At 39.5% G+C, this 17920-nt stretch overlaps 1 protein-coding gene and 1 long non-coding RNA gene across 18 annotated transcripts in view, besides 4 other annotated features; one reads left to right on the forward strand and one right to left on the reverse strand.

Moving 5' to 3' along the window:
* Positions 1-17920, forward strand: part of SUGCT (succinyl-CoA:glutarate-CoA transferase) — a 903812-nt gene that overhangs the window by 571833 nt on the left and 314059 nt on the right. The window lies entirely within an intron of this gene.
* Positions 1247-13013, reverse strand: LOC105375243 (uncharacterized). The gene is made up of 3 exons (XR_927193.3): positions 2014-13013; positions 1420-1448; positions 1247-1278 (listed from the first exon to the last, which is right to left on the reverse strand). It is a non-coding gene; the product is annotated as an uncharacterized LOC105375243 (long non-coding RNA).
* Positions 4363-5562: an enhancer, noted in NCBI's record as "MED14-independent group 3 enhancer chr7:40750799-40751998 (GRCh37/hg19 assembly coordinates)". NCBI's record gives its function as "activates an origin of replication core promoter dependent on BRD2, BRD4, P300/CBP and CDK7 cofactors, and independent of MED14, by STARR-seq in HCT116 cells {active_cell/tissue: HCT116}" and the evidence as "EXISTENCE:reporter gene assay evidence [ECO:0000049][PMID:35650434]".
* Positions 10130-11329: an enhancer, noted in NCBI's record as "MED14-independent group 3 enhancer chr7:40756566-40757765 (GRCh37/hg19 assembly coordinates)". NCBI's record gives its function as "activates an origin of replication core promoter dependent on BRD2, BRD4, P300/CBP and CDK7 cofactors, and independent of MED14, by STARR-seq in HCT116 cells {active_cell/tissue: HCT116}" and the evidence as "EXISTENCE:reporter gene assay evidence [ECO:0000049][PMID:35650434]".
* Positions 10461-11108: an enhancer, noted in NCBI's record as "H3K27ac-H3K4me1 hESC enhancer chr7:40756897-40757544 (GRCh37/hg19 assembly coordinates)". NCBI's record gives its function as "activates a minimal SCP1, AML or CMV promoter by ChIP-STARR-seq in naive H9 embryonic stem cells {active_cell/tissue: H9 hESC(naive)}" and the evidence as "EXISTENCE:reporter gene assay evidence [ECO:0000049][PMID:30033119]".
* Positions 10566-10745: an enhancer, noted in NCBI's record as "active region_25893". NCBI's record gives its function as "activates an Ori minimal core promoter by ATAC-STARR-seq in GM12878 lymphoblastoid cells {active_cell/tissue: GM12878}" and the evidence as "EXISTENCE:reporter gene assay evidence [ECO:0000049][PMID:35858748]".

A 17920-nucleotide genomic window follows, 5' to 3' on the forward strand; every position in this document is an offset into this window, starting at 1 on the left:
AGGCTAGGTTATATAATCTGGCTGCCTCCTTTTTTCTTTTCTTCTGAGCATAGTTCCCAGACTCTCACTTTGCTCAGGATGAGCAGTCCTGCTCCTTAAAAGAGTCTTCACAAAGATTGTGGTCATGACACAGTTCGGCTAAGTAGAGAACTACCCACCCTCATTGTCCACCCTCACTCTTGGAACAAGAGCATCTCTGTGTTAGCATGTCCTAGCAGCTTCCTCGGATACCTGGATATCCTATAATTGCCCAAGGTAGAACTGTTTGGACTGAACTCGAATAGTGACTCAGATTACATGAATTTACACCTAACACTAAAAGAAGAACCTGCCTTTAAATGAGGGGTATAGATTTGAATTTTCAGTGTAAGCTAAGAAAATGCTGCAAAATCTACTTTTTTTTTTTTTTTTTAAAAAGGCAGAACTGTTTGGGCAAAGAGAACGTTTTCTTCGTCTCCTTTCTTTGCTTCATCCTCATTTGTTTCGGAAGGTGTTTTGAATGAATGTATATGCGTGTTTTTCTTCTAAGTTGTCATCATATAACACAAGAATGATGCTGTGATTATCATTTCCTAAAGAGGCACTCCTACAGGAAATTGGGCTGCAAGAGAGGAAAAGTGTGTGTTTCCCTGAAGGAAGTGCTTGTAGAAAGCTAAATCTGGGAAACAAATCATGGAGAATGTATAAATAGACTTCTGGCTCTTTGCATTTTAGTGGTGAGATAGTACCTTTGGTCCTATGGAACACAAATGTTTTTTGGATATGATCCTTAAGGCATGTGAAAGATTCAGGTTTAATTTTAAAACCAGCACCTACAATCTTCCAATAACCCACTTTCCCTAAACCACTTGACCACAGGCACATATACCACAACCATCAACATCAGGAAACTTACAAATGGGAAAATTGAATTTCATTTAAAAAAGGAATCTCCATGGATGTAAGCCTTAAATATTGTTTCTAAGTAGATCTGGTGGATTTTTGTTTCTTACCAAAGAATTGACTTCTTTTGTTAAAACTTGGTTGTAATATAAATCATAATGGAAATATCTTTTTCTGTGCATTTAGAAAATACAATAAAATTTTAGCAATGAATAGGAGCTTTGGGAGAAGAAATGAATTACAGATTTTTAGCTGTTAGCAGAAATGATATACAATCTTTCTTTGTGGTATTATTTAATAATATTTATATACTTTGAATAAAATGAAATAGAGATAAGTCATTCCTCACCTTTCAGCTTCAGGAATAGAATGTGGTCTCAAGGATACTTGCCATGTCTCCACAGCACCATTTAAAGTGACAGGAAGCAGAGAGATATATTAGTACTATTGAAGTATTTCAGTACTAACGTCAACATTGGGTACCAGGACTGAAACACTTCCTGGGTACTCTGTGCTTTAATGGTGTCCTATACTTACCTCAGTCTGGATGTCTGAGACTTGATGCCCTTCATTCCAGGTTGTGATAAAGCAAAAAGGAAAGGAGAATTGCATTGAGTATGTAGAGTGTGTACATCCTGCAGGGCCTGTCAGAGCTCTTAGTGGATGAAGGAAGTAAAGGAATAGGTCAATAAACTTTTCTGGAAGCCGTTAGTGTTTGTTTCATTCTCACCTAGCCTACTGCTCTCTCCTTTTATCTGTGGTCCCTGCTTCTCTTGCCCTATCTACATTAGCTCAATCATGCCACCACCTGCTCAGAGCCCTTGGAGGCCTTCCGATCACATCATGTTCTTCTTGTGAATATGGGACCTGCAAGCACCTATGTGATCAGGGGCCTGGCTACATCCTGAACTCATCTCCTGCCACTGACTCCCTTGCTGAGCAAACCCCTGCCTCAGGTCTTTATACTTGCTGTTGCTTCCGCCTGAGCACTCTAGATATCCTCATAGCTTTCCTTACTGCAGTCACTGCTTGCTCAAATATCACCTCTTCAATGCACTCCCCAACCCCCACCCCCAGTTATCATGCTCTATTCCCTTCCGCTTCTTTCTTCTGGTCCATAGTATTTCTCACCTCTCTATATCAGATTACATGTATTCATCTGTTTATTGCCAGTCTCTGTCATCAAGATGGAAGTTCCTTGAGGGTAGAGGCTTTGCCTGTAGAGTTTACCATAGAGGTCCCAGTGCCTAGAACATAGAGGAGCAGTAAACATTTGTTCAATGAATTATTTTGTTAGTAAACATGAGTACTTGCCTCTCTTGGAACTTCCTATCACAAAATTGTACAATAAGTATCTCTTATTCACTGTCAGGAATTATGATGACATAAATTTTAGAAGAGTCACTAGGGATCATGTGATCCACCAGTTTTCAACCTTTATTTTAGCAGTGCAAGAGCACACAATGTTGTTTGATGCCCTTTTGATAAGACTCCTATGGGTATTCCCACATGTGTTAACTCTTCCCCACCAAACAATAACTAGCCCCATCCATTATCACGCTAAGAAAAGTTTCGTAAGTAATTACACAACAATTAGTCATGTCTTAGCCTATTTCCCTAGAAAGTGGATTCATGTGCACAGGATTTAATGAGGGAGCAGTCTTTAGGAAAATCCTGTAAGAGAGTGAGGAGAGCAAGATAGAAAAGGAGGAGGATCTACAAGGATATGGTCTTAGGCAAAGTCTAGCCTTGGTCTGGTCCCCAGGCTCACAGGGCTGTATTGCCCTGCAAGGAGTTCAGGCTTAAGAACCTTATGTCATTGCCAACCCAGGGTTGTGGGTAGGTGGCTTCCCAGGCATCTCTCCTTGTTCTGCCTAGCATGGAGAAGTAACTGGAGAAGGACACAGGTGTAAACGTTTCCTCAGCTGTATTCCTCCAAGCAGCCAGAGTACAAGTGCATTGGCTGGTCAGGAAGATCTGAATGGGTGGCACCAACAGCCTCTACTACAGATGGTTTCTCCGTAGTGGTTACTCACTATAGGTGATAACCGCAGTTCTCAAACTTCAGTTTCAGAATCACTTGGAGGGTGACTTAAACTACATACATATTGTGGGGCTTCACTGCCGGAATTTCTGACAGATCTGGGGTGAAGCTCAAAGATTAATTTCAATAAATTCCCAGGTGCTGCTGCTGCTAGTCAGGGGTTAGGAACCAACTTCAAGAACCACTGGTTATAGCATACTGAAGATTGCCTTGAAGACATTCTCAGACAAAAGAAACACAAATTTTACCCTAAACAGCATTGGAAGCAACATAGATCTTTACTGAAATTTTCTTGAGGAAAGGACAGGGCTGTACATAAACTAGGGACAGCACCCAGCTAACTTCCTAAAAAAGAATTCCTAGATATTGCTCCTCTTTTCAAAATTCCCAGTCTTCACTGTACTGACTGCATCTATCTCTGGGTTATGAAACATTCTCTGCATGTTAACTATACGGCGGACCACCTCTTTCTCTCTCATTCTAGAAAATGCTGTAGAACGCAACACAGAGGAGATACATTTCTACAGACACAACCTTGAAGTTGCTTTTACTTACTGAGAAGCCATTTGTAAATTTTTATTCTACAAGTATTAGGAACAAATTATTTGTGATCCATCTCAGTTTGTGGAAATAATATAGATACAACCCCAGCCTCTGTTTTATAGATGGTGAGTAAGGGGCACTGAGGGTGGTAAGGCTGTTAATGTTTTACCCCAGAGAACTTATCTTTGGAGTTTTTCATCCACTTCCTCCTCCTTCATTCTCACTCCTCTAGATCTTCATAAAAAGGGTAGTTTTAAAGATGTGTGTGTCTGTGTGTGTGCAAGCAGGAGAGAGAGAGATTTCTAAAATCATACCTAAAGAAAAACAAATGAGAAAAACTTTATAATCACATTAATAACTAGTCTAGGAAAAAAAGAGATGCTACAACTAGATAATTTTATTTGAGTGGAGAGCCCAGCAAATAATTATCCACTTACTGAAAGATCAACCCCAGGGCTCATCAGAGGTTTTATTATTGGTTAATTTATTTTTTCCCATGGGATCTTAATTTAAGAAAATTACCTTGAGGAGTTTTTATTTGAAAAGATGCCATCTAAAATAAACTCAAGGTTTGCCTGTATGTTCTCTGTGTTTAGAGTGTGAAATGCAGCCGTTAAGGTGTTACAGGATAAGCTGCTGCCAGTGGACTGGGGTAAAGGAAGGAATTGGGAGTACAGTGTCGTTGCCTGAGTTGGTTGATATACACTTAGGTCTGGAGCACTGTTTAACAAGGTTAATGAAACTTCTAAATCAGAGATGAGCAATCTCAAATGCCTACCAGGGCTGGGCAGGGAACAGCAGTAAGTGAAGGCCAACGGGTGTGAGAAACTCAGGAGAAGTGACCACTGCGCTGCCCAAGAGAGGACAACTTTTCTTCAGAGAGCAACTCCGACCCAGCCCCTGGTGTTAAAAGAAAAGCTGGAGGCTGGGCGCGGTGGCCCATGCCTGTAATCCCAGCACTTTGGGACGCTGAGGTGGGTGGATCACAAGGTCAGGAATTCGAGACCTGCCTGGCCAATATGGTGAAACCCTGTCTGTACTAAAAATACAAAAATTAGGTGGGCATGGTGGCGCACACCTGTAGTCCCAGCTGCTTGGGAGGCTGAAGCAGGAGAATCACTTGAGGCAGAGGTTGCAGTGAGCCGAGATCCCACCACTGTACTCCAGCCTGTGTGACAGAGCAAGACTCTATCTAAAAAAAAAGAAAGAAAAAGAAAAGCTGGAAATCAGGATTTTGTTGTGAAATTTGATAATGGAGACGTTAGTTTGCAACTTCTGTATTAAAAACTGCCATACCCATTTCTCTTTCCTATCCAGTCCTCCCCATAGACCTCCATTCCTCCATCTTTTGAAACTTCAGCGCTGCTGCCCGCAGAGTTCGCTGCTCCCTATGGAACCTTATCACTAACTGTTGGAGTCACTCATTGAATTTATACTGTTTTGTGAATTCTGTTTATATTTGAAGTCATTGATAAAATGTTTCTGTGTATCTTCAACTAGATTTTAGGTTTGTAAACTCTGAGCACAGTATCCAGTCTCATGGGTCTTTGAGTTCCCTGGAGTGGCTCATGCCTTGACATGTACAGAACAGGATGACTGGATGACTGGCCTGCGCTTAGGTAGCACTTAACAGCGTGGCAGAGGTGTTCACATCCTCACTCTCATTCAGTTCTTCCCATGGCTCTGGAAGTGAGGTCCGCATCAAAGATGAGGAAACTGCGGCTCCGCAAGCCTAGCTGACTTAGAAGGCGGCCCAGCCATAACAGCTGGCACTTGAAACTGACTTTGACTTTGTTGCCTTCTATAGTATGTAGACTGCAGCTTCTTTGCTTGGTAAATAGGGGTTATGAATGATAGATCCATGTCTGAATATTCAAATTATTTGTATGGATTACTAAACATTCATCTTGTAACTTTTAGGAATGGTGTTTGTTAAAGGAGCAACGCTAACAGAGAAGTTGATAGGTGAGATCTGATAGAAAAATATAACCTACCTCCTCTTAACCACAAGTAATTCTATAAGAACAGATTCAGCTGTATTTTCTAGCCAAATAAAGCATATTGTGTTGTTGCATCAGGCAGAACTGGAAAGCAGCATATATCTCACATTATATGTTTCACATGAAAGTTGATTTTTCACCATAATTTGTTATGGGATGTTGTGCAAACCTCCTGGAACATAATGCAGTATGGAAGGAAAACTACTGATTGCCTCTGTAGAGAAAAAGAGTTTAGGATTATATAAAATTTGTCTTGAGTATGCAGCTTTTACTTGAAATGCTGGCCAAATAAAATGGAAATATATTTGTTTCTTTTAAAGTATTTCTTAGAACTACCAGTTAATTGCTATCTTTCCAGAAAGGGATGTCGAATCCAACATTTCAACATTCAGCCTCTGAATATACCTCAGAAGAGGATGGAGTCTCTTACCTGAGGCCACAGGGGGCCCTTTGGCACATGCAGGCCTCACATCTCCATAGAGTTAAACTTAGGGAGCAGACTTCAGAGTGCGCTGCCATTATTTTATTCTTTTGAAACCTTTAGATTTTACTGCCTCTGGACCTTGGGCCCATCCCAGAACTTTTTCAGTGACTTGATAGTAAAACGTCTTCCACATCCCTTTCAGTCACAAGACTTGTCTAAAATGTATTTCTTACATTCACATGGTGGAATAGCAAAATCTCTGAACTACTTTAGAATGAAAGCCTCTATTTTTTTCCATCAATGGCCCACTTCAATTCAGAGGTCTTTAATGAAGGGAGGAGGAGGGGGTGCGGTTGGCTTCTGTTCCGTTTCCTCACTTGTCCTGCACCCCTGGCCCCAGTTACCTGTCAGGAAAGGGACACAGCAGAGTAGATGCAAGGACAGGAGAAGCCTCCCCTGACTGGCACTGTGTAGTCTGGTGTAGACCTTCTCTGGGGTGGAGACTGCTGCAGGCTGACCCTCTCCCAGAAAGGGCAGTTTTGTTCTTCTTCCACTCAGAAAGTCCTCCTGCAGGGCTCTGGGCTCAGACAGTGCCTCTCCTGTGCCTGGCCTCCGAGCATTTCCTTAGCCCCTTCTAAGTCCTGTAGGTATGATAACCCTCCCATCTTTTCTTGGTTATCTTCTGCAGGCCTCTTTGATTAAGCTTGAGGGCAGGAAGAAGCAGTTCCTTTGTACATCCATGGTCAGGGTGTTATCACAAGAAATGCCACTGTATTCCAATAATTTTATACCTATTAGGTAGATGTTGAATTAAGGGTTAAAAACCAGTTTTCACCACTGCCTTGCAAGTCCTACCAAGGCATTCTAGAATCACAGCCACCTGTAAATTTGTGTTTAACCTTTGGGCCTTAACCACAACAGAGGTGGATGTAATTCCATCTTCATATTCTGTAGCATGTGCAAATCCTTCTCTGCACTTACACATCTAGCTGTGGTCAATTTGAGTGTTTGTCTGGGAATTATCAGTTGTGTAGAAAATTGTTTGGATTATTCCTTCTGTTTCTCTCCAGTCCCTACCCTCTCCTGTCCCTCTCCCAATGCTCCCCATCACATCATGCATAAACTTTTCTCCATATTCTCTTAACCCTTTTGGAAAAGAGGCATTTTAACCACATTAGGGGACATCATTTGGTATCTAACTTCCATTTCCCATGTAGAAAACCATCTGAAGTTATTAAATTAAGAAACATTTTAAACTTTATGTCAGTTTCCATGAGAACATTAATTAGCTAATATTAATCATTGAAAACAAAACAAGGCCGGGTGCAGTGGCTCATGCCTGTAATCCCAGCACTTTGGGAGGCCAAGGCAGGAGGATCACTTGAGGTTAGGAGCCTGAGACCAGCCTGCCCAACATGATGAAACCCTGTCTCTACTAAAAATACAAAAATTAGCCAGGTGTGTTGGTGAGCGCCTGTAATCTCAGCTACTTGGGAGGCTGAGGCAGGAGAATTGCTTGAACTCAGGAGGCGGGTTGCATTTAGCAGAGATTGTGCCTCTGCGTTCTAGCCTGGGGGACAGAGCCAGACTCTCTCAAAAAAACAAACAAAAAAAGAAAACAAATCAAAAAAATAGAAACAAAAGGAACATAACTACTCATCCCCCACCCAAATTCAAAAGATTCTCTGAGATTTGTCATATACTTATTTAAGTGTCCCTAAAAAGAGAGCTATGGTTCTGCTGTAGTTTCTGTTTAAATCTCCTAGTTTTGCCTGAAGCCATGAAGTTAACCTCAGAGCAGAGCCTCTCTCCAGCCCTTACTCCCCAAATGAAAACCATGTGCTTGTGTGGGTTTTATTTGTTTTTCTTTTTTAAGATCTTCTCCATTATTTAAGGAAATTATTACATAACTGCATAGGTCTTCAATAATAGAGTTCACACTGGCTTTTATCAATTAAGTCACAAATAGTTTTTCTCAGAAGCAAATTTAACTCTAGACATTTTTAAAGCTGATTGTAATACCCTGGAAAAGCTAGAAACTTCTTGCATGCTAGCCAAGTCAAACTGTACAAGAGAATACATGGAAATAATATGTGGATGAAACAATAATACTTGCACAGTTCCTAGCCATACTTTTCTCCTTCCGTGAAGGCAATTAATCAGTCTAAACTCCCACACTGGGTAGTGCCACTTCTGACCCTGTTTAAATGTAGAAATATGTAATTCATACTGAAGTTCTATCATGTTCCTAAAACTCAGCGGCAAATCACAGGTCAGTACACAGAGTGAATGTGGCTTCTCTGCCTTCCACTTGCCAGGAGTTAAGGTTGTGTATGGAAAAAAAAAATTGTAAGGGTGTGACTTGGATTATAAAAATCACACTTTTAATTCCACTGAAACATAAAAAAAAATAAACTCTCTCCTTTGTTCTTAAAATAGACCAAATTTGTACAGATAGGGCATTCTTGAACGATCTATTCATTTCAGTTACACAACAGGGAATGAGCAGTTATGGTCAGTGCAGCAAACACAGCAAAGGTATTGATGCGGGGTGGGATGGGAAGTTTTGCTGCTGTGACCTCATCTATACAATTGCAGAAGAACATCTAGCCTGCCTCCGCTGTCTTCTTAAAGTCCCATCTCCTGTTCCCTGGCATCCAATCCCATCTCCCTCCCTTCAGGAACCCAGTGTCTTCCACTACAGGATGGAAGGAATGTCACCCAAAGCATGCTCCATCCATCAGTTGCCCTCATTTTCCATAAAACAAACAAACAAAAGAGCTCAATGTGTCTAAAACTGAGCTTACCTTTGCCCCCCCTCATGTGTTTTCTATCTCAGTGGATGGGCACGAGCATCTACCAAACATAAAAGCTACAAAAGGAAGAATCATCCCAGACTTCTCCCTGTCTTTACCTGCATATTCAATCAGTTGCTGAGTCCGGATTCCACCTCCTCTTCCTATCTTCTGATTCCTTTTCTGTTTTCCCAGACTTGTCTTTTGACATCCTCCCTCACATCTCCTGCCATATGCTTGTTAAGCTGTTCCCAGTCCCTGTACCCCCAACTCTGTATCAGCCAAGTGATTCTTCACATACCACTTTCCTGTGGTTTTTCGCCCTCCCCTGTTTCCTCTTGGACCATAGTTTTCTTCTTTGTTCTCCTGTTGCACCCTCCTCTCCATCAGGAAAGTAAGGATTGCATTTTGTAGCGCTTGTTATTGACTTATCTTTCTTCCTCACTAGCTGGCGTTCTGAAGTCAGAGACATTTTCCTATTTCTCTCCTGTCTTTAGTGCTAAGCACAGACAAGCCGCTTATTAAGTGGTAGGTGAGTGTATTGCTGGATTTGGGCATTATAAGAGGAACTTGTGAACTCAATTGATGAGCTGGGTGGGGAACATGTTCCTGACTTTAACATATTGCTTGACCCTGGTGAGCTGCCAGTAAATTCCTGTGGAATTCTGTTGAATACTGAAGCAGGGAGGTTTTCCTGCCCTGCACAATCCTCCTTCCTCCCTGATTCCATCAGGTCAGAAGAGTGGTCATCAGCAGTGAAGAAATACTAGGTTTCAATTTGCTGGATCCTATTACATATAATGTGACTGAGCAGTAATAAGTCAGGGAGCCCAAATGGCTGATTGATGTTTAACCTGTACAACTGTCATCTCTGCAGAAGGTCCAAACAGTTACTTCAAAACTTTAACTCATTCCAAAGTCTACTTCTGTTTAACAAATTTAATTAATGAATCAATGGTTATCTATTAAATGCTTGTTGTGTTTAAAGGGATTAGTAATATTTAAATAGAATAAGCTTTAAATATGTGAGCACAAAAGAACTATTCAATAAATATCACTAGGGTAATTGGCTAATCATTTGTGAAAAGAGTAATTTTTGAGATTACTTTTATTAAATATTTCAATTTAATATATAATAATAGAAAACTAAGGTAAGCGTTTATCACAGAAAATCAGAGAAATCATGGACATGAAGCCAATGAAGAAAGCAGCTCACTATGTAAATACTAAAACTTCTCTGTATCTACTAAACACAACCACAGTATATAAACGCAGATAATATATTTTATAGATTTCAGATATGGATTGAATGATGCAACATTATAAGTATCAATGAGAAAGAAAAAATGCCACTAGTCTAACTGTGATATACCATGAATTGTAATATATAACTAGATTTTAAAGATGTTAAAATGCGAAAGAAAAATGTGCCTTTTGGGATCAACAAAGTATAGTAGAAAACTAGAAAAAAAAACCAATATGATAGAAAAATGTCATCTGCTCACCTCTACTGGGAATGTAATTTTATACAATATTTTAGCAGTTATATACCAGAAAGTTTAAAATATGCACCCTTTTGACACAAAATTTATTTCTTGAATGTATGCTGAGGAAATAATCAAGAATACATAGAAAGATTAAGCTACATATTTGTTCACTGCGATAATATTGTTGCAGAACTTTCTCCTTAGTTCAGCTAAAAGCAGGCTCTTGTCACACGACCAGGAAAGATTAGGCTCGCGGACACATAGAAGGGTGAGGAAAATGGAATTTATTGGGCGAAGGGGAAAAAGGAAAACGAACCAAAGCAAGAGAGAGCCCTGCTAGCAGCTTTTCTGACTCACAGATTGAATCCCAGGTCACCACAGGAGCTGAAGACAGCAAGCTCCTCCCGTGCACAAGGCGTGAACTCCCCGTGGCCCCACCCATTTCCCCCAGGGCACATGTCGGGCTCCAGTCCACTGTGGGCATGCCCAGACAAGCCCTGGGCAGGTTCCCTCATTTGCACAAAAGCTTCTGATGTAAACACTTGTGGGGAAGGTTGGAGATTCTCTGGGGACCCCTTTTTATCTGTGTAGGCATTTGGCTGTCTCAATATTTATAAAACTGAAATATTGGGAACAATTTAAACGCACAGAAATCAGTGATTAGTTGAATAAATTATAGCATATCTATGTCAGGGCACTGCCCTTGATATTTACAAATAACGCTGTAGATGAATAGTAATTGGCATGGGAAGATCTTCACTGCATCGTTTGGTTCCAGGATTTTTTCTAAGAAAATATCCATAGACATAGTTATAGATATATAGATATAAATACATAGAAAAAAATATTTGGAACTAAATTTATATTAGAGGTAGTTACTGAAAATGGTACATAATGAGAAGTATATTCTCCTCTTCTTCTTTATTCACATATTTTAGTTTTTAAAAATTATCTATAATAGCACAATAATGAAAAGTTATTTTCTATTTTAAATGAAAGATATGTCTTTAATAAACTGATAAGATTGACACAGTAAAGGGAGAATACAAATGAAAGTGCTTTTGGAATAAAAATAGAAACTGTGCTCTTGATTTTGGTCATTTGTATCAAATCATATTTCATGCAAAGCAATAAGCATTCTGATATAAAAACTAGCATCTCCCATTTTATTGCTGTGTTGATTAATAACAAATCAGTTTTCTATTTGTGTCTCATATGTGTATTAAGACTCTAACCTCTGCAACCAAATCCAACAAAATCTTGTGAAAAATTTCAGAAACAATGTTTGAGAAGAAACCCGGGACTTAAAAATGAACAAGTATGCAGTGTAAGCTGACCCTGAGTGTCACATTTTAACATCTGTTTTTCATGTTGTGATACTTATTTGAGATTTGGTATTATTAAGTAACGAGGAAAATATCTTACTGTTTCCATAGGTAACAGGGCAGTAACTTGAGGCTGATGGATTGGCATGCTTTGTCTATATAATGTAATTCAAATAAAGTCATAACATTTTGGCTATGGCTTATTTGTCAAACATTTATACATTTTTTTTGTCTGATAAATGAACTGCTAGGCTTTCTGACTGTTTAATAATAGTCCAATAAAAAGGGAGCAAAATAGCTTTTGACCTTCCATTTAATATTACTACCAGCAGTTTGGAGATTTAGGTGTATATGTAAACATTTAAAAATGATTTTGCATTGACTTTTTTTCAGAAAAAGCACTTTTAATATTTTAAATAATACTTATTGAAATGGATTCCACATACTTGTGTCTGAGCCAGTGTCCACACTATTGCCACAAACTCTGGGAACAAATTCTTATATATCAGATACTATACAAATATTTATTTATAATCTTTTCCCACAGACTATATGATATAAAAATTTAAAAGCCAGTATGAAAGTAGACCACTTAAAAAAGGTAACTGAATATGGTTCCCTAAGGAATTAAGGCCAATTTGGAAATTTCTTATGTAACATTCCTAAAATACAAATTTCATCATGTTATTCTATGTCTAAACTTTTTCATATCTCTTCATTGTCCTTAAGATAAAGCCCGATGCCCCGACATAGCTTATGGAGCCATATGTGATCTGGCACCTGCCATTCTCCCTGGGCTCATCTTTTCTATGAAACCCCTTTGATCCTTCAGGGCATTGACTGTGTCCTGCTTTCTGGTATATAGGCCTTTGCACATGCTGTTCTTTCTGAAACTGTCTGGCCATTCTTTTCCTTTCCCTGTTCCTCAGTCCTCTGTATCCTAATCTTTTTCACATTCTGTTCCAGGCTCTAATCATCTCTAATGTATTGTGATTATTCTTTAAATCTCCTGCTTTCCTAGCTGCTGGTGTATGCATCACATCAGCTTTCCACCCCTGACCATGGTCTCCCTCAGGGACTTTCAGTTGAGCTTGTTGTTCCCACATTGGATTCTTTGGCATTATACCTAGCTGGAGCCAGCCCCGGAGAGCCACATGCCAGGGGACCTTAAAACCTGTGGGACTTCTGCAAGCCACCAACTTAGGAAGAGCAAAACTGAAAACCAGGAAAAAGATTTTCAGAACTGAAAACCAGGCAAAAGCCCACAACAGAAAAATGGAAAGCAGAATGAGGTTGAGAAGTGGTTCCACACAGAGGGAGAACTGGGGTGAAGATGAGAATCTGTTGGGCGAGATGAGGTGAGAAGCAATGAAGCTGCTGAAATAAAGGTGCATAAGGGAAAAGACAGGAGTGCGGAGAGCTTAGGTGAGACGTCACTTAGTAGGCAGAGCACACACAATTCTGTTTTGTTTTGTTTTTGAGACAGAGTCTCACTGTCACCAGGCTGGCATGCAGTGGCACGATCTCGGTTCACTGCAACCTCCACTTCCTGGGTTCAAGCAATTCTCCTGCCTCAGCCTCCTGAGTAGCTGGGATTACAGGTGTCTGCCACTACGCCCGGCTAATTTTTGTATTTTTAGTAGAGATCATGTTGGCCAGGCTGGTCTCGATCTCCTAACCTCAAGTGATCCACCTGCCTCGGCCTCCCAAAGTGCTGGGATTACAGGCGTGAGGCAGCACACCAGGCTGGGAGCACATGCAATTCTGGTACAAGTCATAAACCTAGATTCTAGTCCCCCCACTGCCAGACCTTGGGTAAGTCACTTAACCTCATGTGATTTTAGAGTCACATGACCTTGGTTAAGTCACAAACTCCTTGGTCCTGAGTATTCTTATCTATTAACCAAGGAATTTGTGTTAGATCTGTATTTGTCAAAAGGCACGTAAATGTTAAGAGGTACAAGGGGACATGGAGGGGTTCACAAAGATATGGCATAAAAATGCCGCATCTTGGATTACTTTTACATAATGGAACAATTTTAAACATTTTAATCCAGAGAAGAATGGAGATGCTGTATATCAAATGCAAAATTTGAACAGTTTTAGAATGAAGCATGAGAATACAAAGACATTTTATTCATGGTGAGGCCTCTGTAGACTCTTCCCCAAAATGTATATGGAATCTCTGTTCACTCCTCTCTACTATTTGGGGCCCTTCAGTGGACATGTATGAGAAAGAATGACTACAGTATTAGTCAGACTCTTTCCAGCTGAAACAAGAAGTTTTTAAGAATAAGATTAGTGTAATGTGTTAAATATGAAGTTTACTAATAACAGTGTTCTGTCTCTTAGAAATAAGTAAAATAATAGCCTTTAGATGGCCAGATGCCACTCTGTGTCATGTTTTTGCTCCTTGAATGTATATATTTTGTAATAAAATGCATCCCTTACGTATCATCTTTGAATGAGACTAAAAGATGCACGGTGTTTTGACAACATGAAGAAAGCTTTACAGCATGTTACATGGAAGATTTTAAAACACTGAGCTGTATTTTTTCTTTATATTTCTAGGTTCTACCTGGATTTGTAAGAGTCAGGTTATTTTTCCTGGTTTTATGAAACTTATCTTCCAAAAGCACATAAGGTTAATTTTTTGAAATACTCAAACATTGAGGAAACAGAGTCTGGTCATGGTAATTGGAACTTTTGATGTGCCCACTCCAGTGACCTGTTCATGCAAAAGCCTTAAGTAAGCAGGTTCTGGAGCCAGTCTGTAGCAGCTCTCTTCACTTTGAGAATGTGTTGATGGATTAAAGCAGAACCCAAACAGTCCACTATCTGCCTGTTGCTGTGTAAATGAGAACCCCCTTGATTTTTCTTTTTTTTAAAGGAGGGGAAGGTGTAAATATCAATGCTGGGAGGTAACCAGATTAGCATGAAACAGAGCTGCCATTTTATACTATGCCTCATTCAAGTGACAGTCATTCAAGTTGCATTTTTTTTCATCTCCTGAGAGTTATTATGAACTTTCTTTACTGAGTGTTATATTTAAGCCTTTTGAATAGTTTGCTGTCTGCAACAGTGGCGGCAGATAAGGAATGCTCTCAGAGGATCTCACTGTGAGACATAATGGTGAAATGCTGCAATGCATGGAATTTTATTTGGGACTGCAATTTAATAAATGATGGACTATCTCTAGGTCAAATCTAGTCCAGATCAGTCACTACCATCTGTCACCAAGCTACAGCCAACTGGCAGCTGGTTGGTGGCCATTATGAAATCCATTAGTAATTTCAGTTCATTTCTTAATTAATGGACATACTTATGCACAGAACATTCCATAATTGACCATTTTCTTAAGTGGCTTCATTCTGTTCCTGTTTTAGGATGGACATTCTTTGCCTCTGAGGAATATGTCTTCTAGTTTGCAGTTGCTACAGTGGAGATAAAGTTTCTTCTATCTCTGTTTATGCATATGTGTACAATCTGTGAAGGGATGGTAGCTTTGAAACTTCATTTTACATAGCTTGAAGTTGAAAATATGATTCCCAATGAGACTTTTAGAGTTGGACACATTTCAAGAATGTCCTTTCATAGGAGATTTTCGTATTGCATCCATATATTCTGGTCCCAGATGAAAGAAGTTCTTATAGAAACCTTCAACCAAAGGAAGAAAACCTATCCATTTAAATATGAGGAAAGCTGGCCTGTGTTTGGACCATTCTCCCAGTAATTTTTTTTTTTTAACGTCTTTGAATGATTTCGTCCACCACAAATTGACAGGGTAGAGGACCTCCTCTTTTGGAGTTGCCAACAAGCACATTTTGCTACCAGTCAACTCTCCTAAATAATAAGTATGATGAATAACAACCAATTGGGGAAAATTTTTCAGCATAAAAAAAGGCTGACAGCTGTGAAAACAAAGCAAGCATACAGCTCTTCAATTTAAAGAAATCCTTGCTCACGCTTATACTATAATGTAGGGGAGTCTCTTGGCAGAGTCATATTTTGCTCTATTTTTACATAATAAATACACATATAATCAAGTGAAAATAGACCTTGGTGCAGTGCTCAGCCATTCCCATGCTGTGACGATATAGTTCATTTAAATGCTCCTTGGGAATGTTGGCTCATTCAATGAGAAAACAGTCAGTTTTAGACCAAATATAGTCAATTCCAAAAAGCAGTCAAGCCAGTTGCATGAAAATGGACTTTTTTGCTTCTCCACTGGCTGTTTTCAAATCACATTTGGCTCAGACAGAAAATGGAGTGAGCCTTCTAAAACCTCATGGTTTGTCCACTATAGCTTTATTTTATTATTTTTTACTGATACATAATAGTTATACATATTTTGGGAAATACATTTTAATATAATGTTCAATACCTATCTGTTTCTTCTCTAAGCTGAATTACCATATTGCTACTTCTGTTGTCTTATCATATCTTTTCAAATTGCCCCTTTGCGGTGAAGTATTTCTATTTTCTTGGTCAATAAAATGTCTGTGTGACACATTGAAGCGATATCCTTCAATCTGATAACATTATTTATAAACCCTATAAATCATAAACAACATCTGTACTCTCAAGTTATGTTTGCCATCTGAAATGAATCTACCAATAGTGCTGTGTAAGTAATTTGCTTCCGAGATCAGCTAGCTTGGAGTCCAAATACAGAAAGCAAACTGGCAGAGTTTTCATGAACATTTTTTACAGGACTATTGAAACTTCTACTTAACTAAAATGACAAAGTGCTTCCAAAGCTTTGTGCTTTGTGAAACTGGAGGTCATACTATTTCATAAGCACACGAGATGCATTTATGTGAGGCTGGACCTTAGGCACTCAGCTGGCTCTGTATACACAATCTCCAATTTTAGCAGGAGGTAAAGGAACTAGAATCTTGGTCCCACCATTTCCTTGTGACCTTTGAAACTGACTTGACTTCTCCGATTTGAGTTTCCTCAGCAGTTGACACGGGTTTGAAAGCAGATGATGGCTGTGGGAGTGGCTGCTTCTGTGCCCACTCTAGTGGTGTTTAGCAGTGTTCTTCTCTTTCTCCGTATCTTTCCCCTTTCCAGCGGGTGTAGGGGCTGCGGCTTTTTCTTTCTTTTTTGCGTCTATTTCCAGAAATATACAAAATGCACGAATTCCTCAACCGATAATGCAGCAGATGACTGCTTAGCCTCTGGAATATTCTGTCTCCTTGAAGTCCCAGTTCTCTAAAGAAGAATGAGGTTTACTTTGACTTAACTGGAACAGCTTCTGCTACTAATTCCTTCTAATGGACTCCTACTTGTGATTCTGACTTTGAATTAAATCACGAAACCACAGGAAATCTCTAATTTGTTTTTAAGACTTTTTGGTGAAAAAAACAAAAGTATGACTTTCCAGGAAACACTAGAGTTACTTGTTTTTCATACTATATCCCATTAATTCAGACACATATTGAAGATATTCAGCCCTTAACCACTATACATCATAATTGTCTGCTTACTGTCTGCATCTTCATAATATGGGATCTCGTTCACCTCTATCACCAGTTCCTACCACCTAGCAGGCCCTTGGAAACTGCTGGTTGAATCAACAAATGGATCAATATTTGTGTATTTCCTGTCTGTTTCTCAAAAGGATTCAAGGCAGTTTATAAGAAACACATGTGAAACAGAGCAATACAATTAAGATCAGAAAAAATGAGACCAGACATCATGTGAAGAAAATGAAAAGATATTTATGCTAAGGACCAAGGCCTGGTATGAGATCATTTGAGAACTGGACTTAACTCTAAATTAAGGCAAAAAAAATGAGCACATGATTGCCTATACTGTTCCCTTAATCGGAGAAAATAAAACATACAAGAGGAATTTCTTCACATGGGGGAACTATCAAGTAGGAGAATATTGCAAATGACCATTGCCACATCTGACCCTATTTGTGTCTATGTGGCATTCTTGGTCATTTCTGTCTCTTATTAAGAAAGTCTGGGGCTTTGGGAGGCCAAGGCGGGCAGATGACAAGGTCAGGAGATTGAGACCATCCTGGCTAACGTGGTGAAACCCCTTCTGTACTAAAAATACAAAAAATTAACGGCGTGGCAGCGTGCGCCTGTAGTCCCAGCTGCTGGGGAGGCTGAGGCAGGAGAATGACATGAACCTGGGAGGCGGAGCTTGCAGTGAGCCAAGATTGCATCACTGCACTCCAGCCTGGTGACAGAGTGAGACTCCATCTCAAAAAAAAAAAGCTCTGGGGGTCTGGGGTTAAATGTAATGTCCTGGAACCTGAGATCTAAGCACAGCTAGTGGTTTACTGTTCTTTTTCTGAAATCAGTACAGTGCAATTTGAATATGTATTATATGTAAGTTTTTATACATAATATATATTTTAAATATATGTATATATAAATATACACATATAAGTTACATATG

Source organism: Homo sapiens, chromosome 7 (assembly GCF_000001405.40).
Source record: "Homo sapiens chromosome 7, GRCh38.p14 Primary Assembly".
NCBI classification, from domain to species: Eukaryota; Metazoa; Chordata; class Mammalia; order Primates; family Hominidae; genus Homo; species Homo sapiens.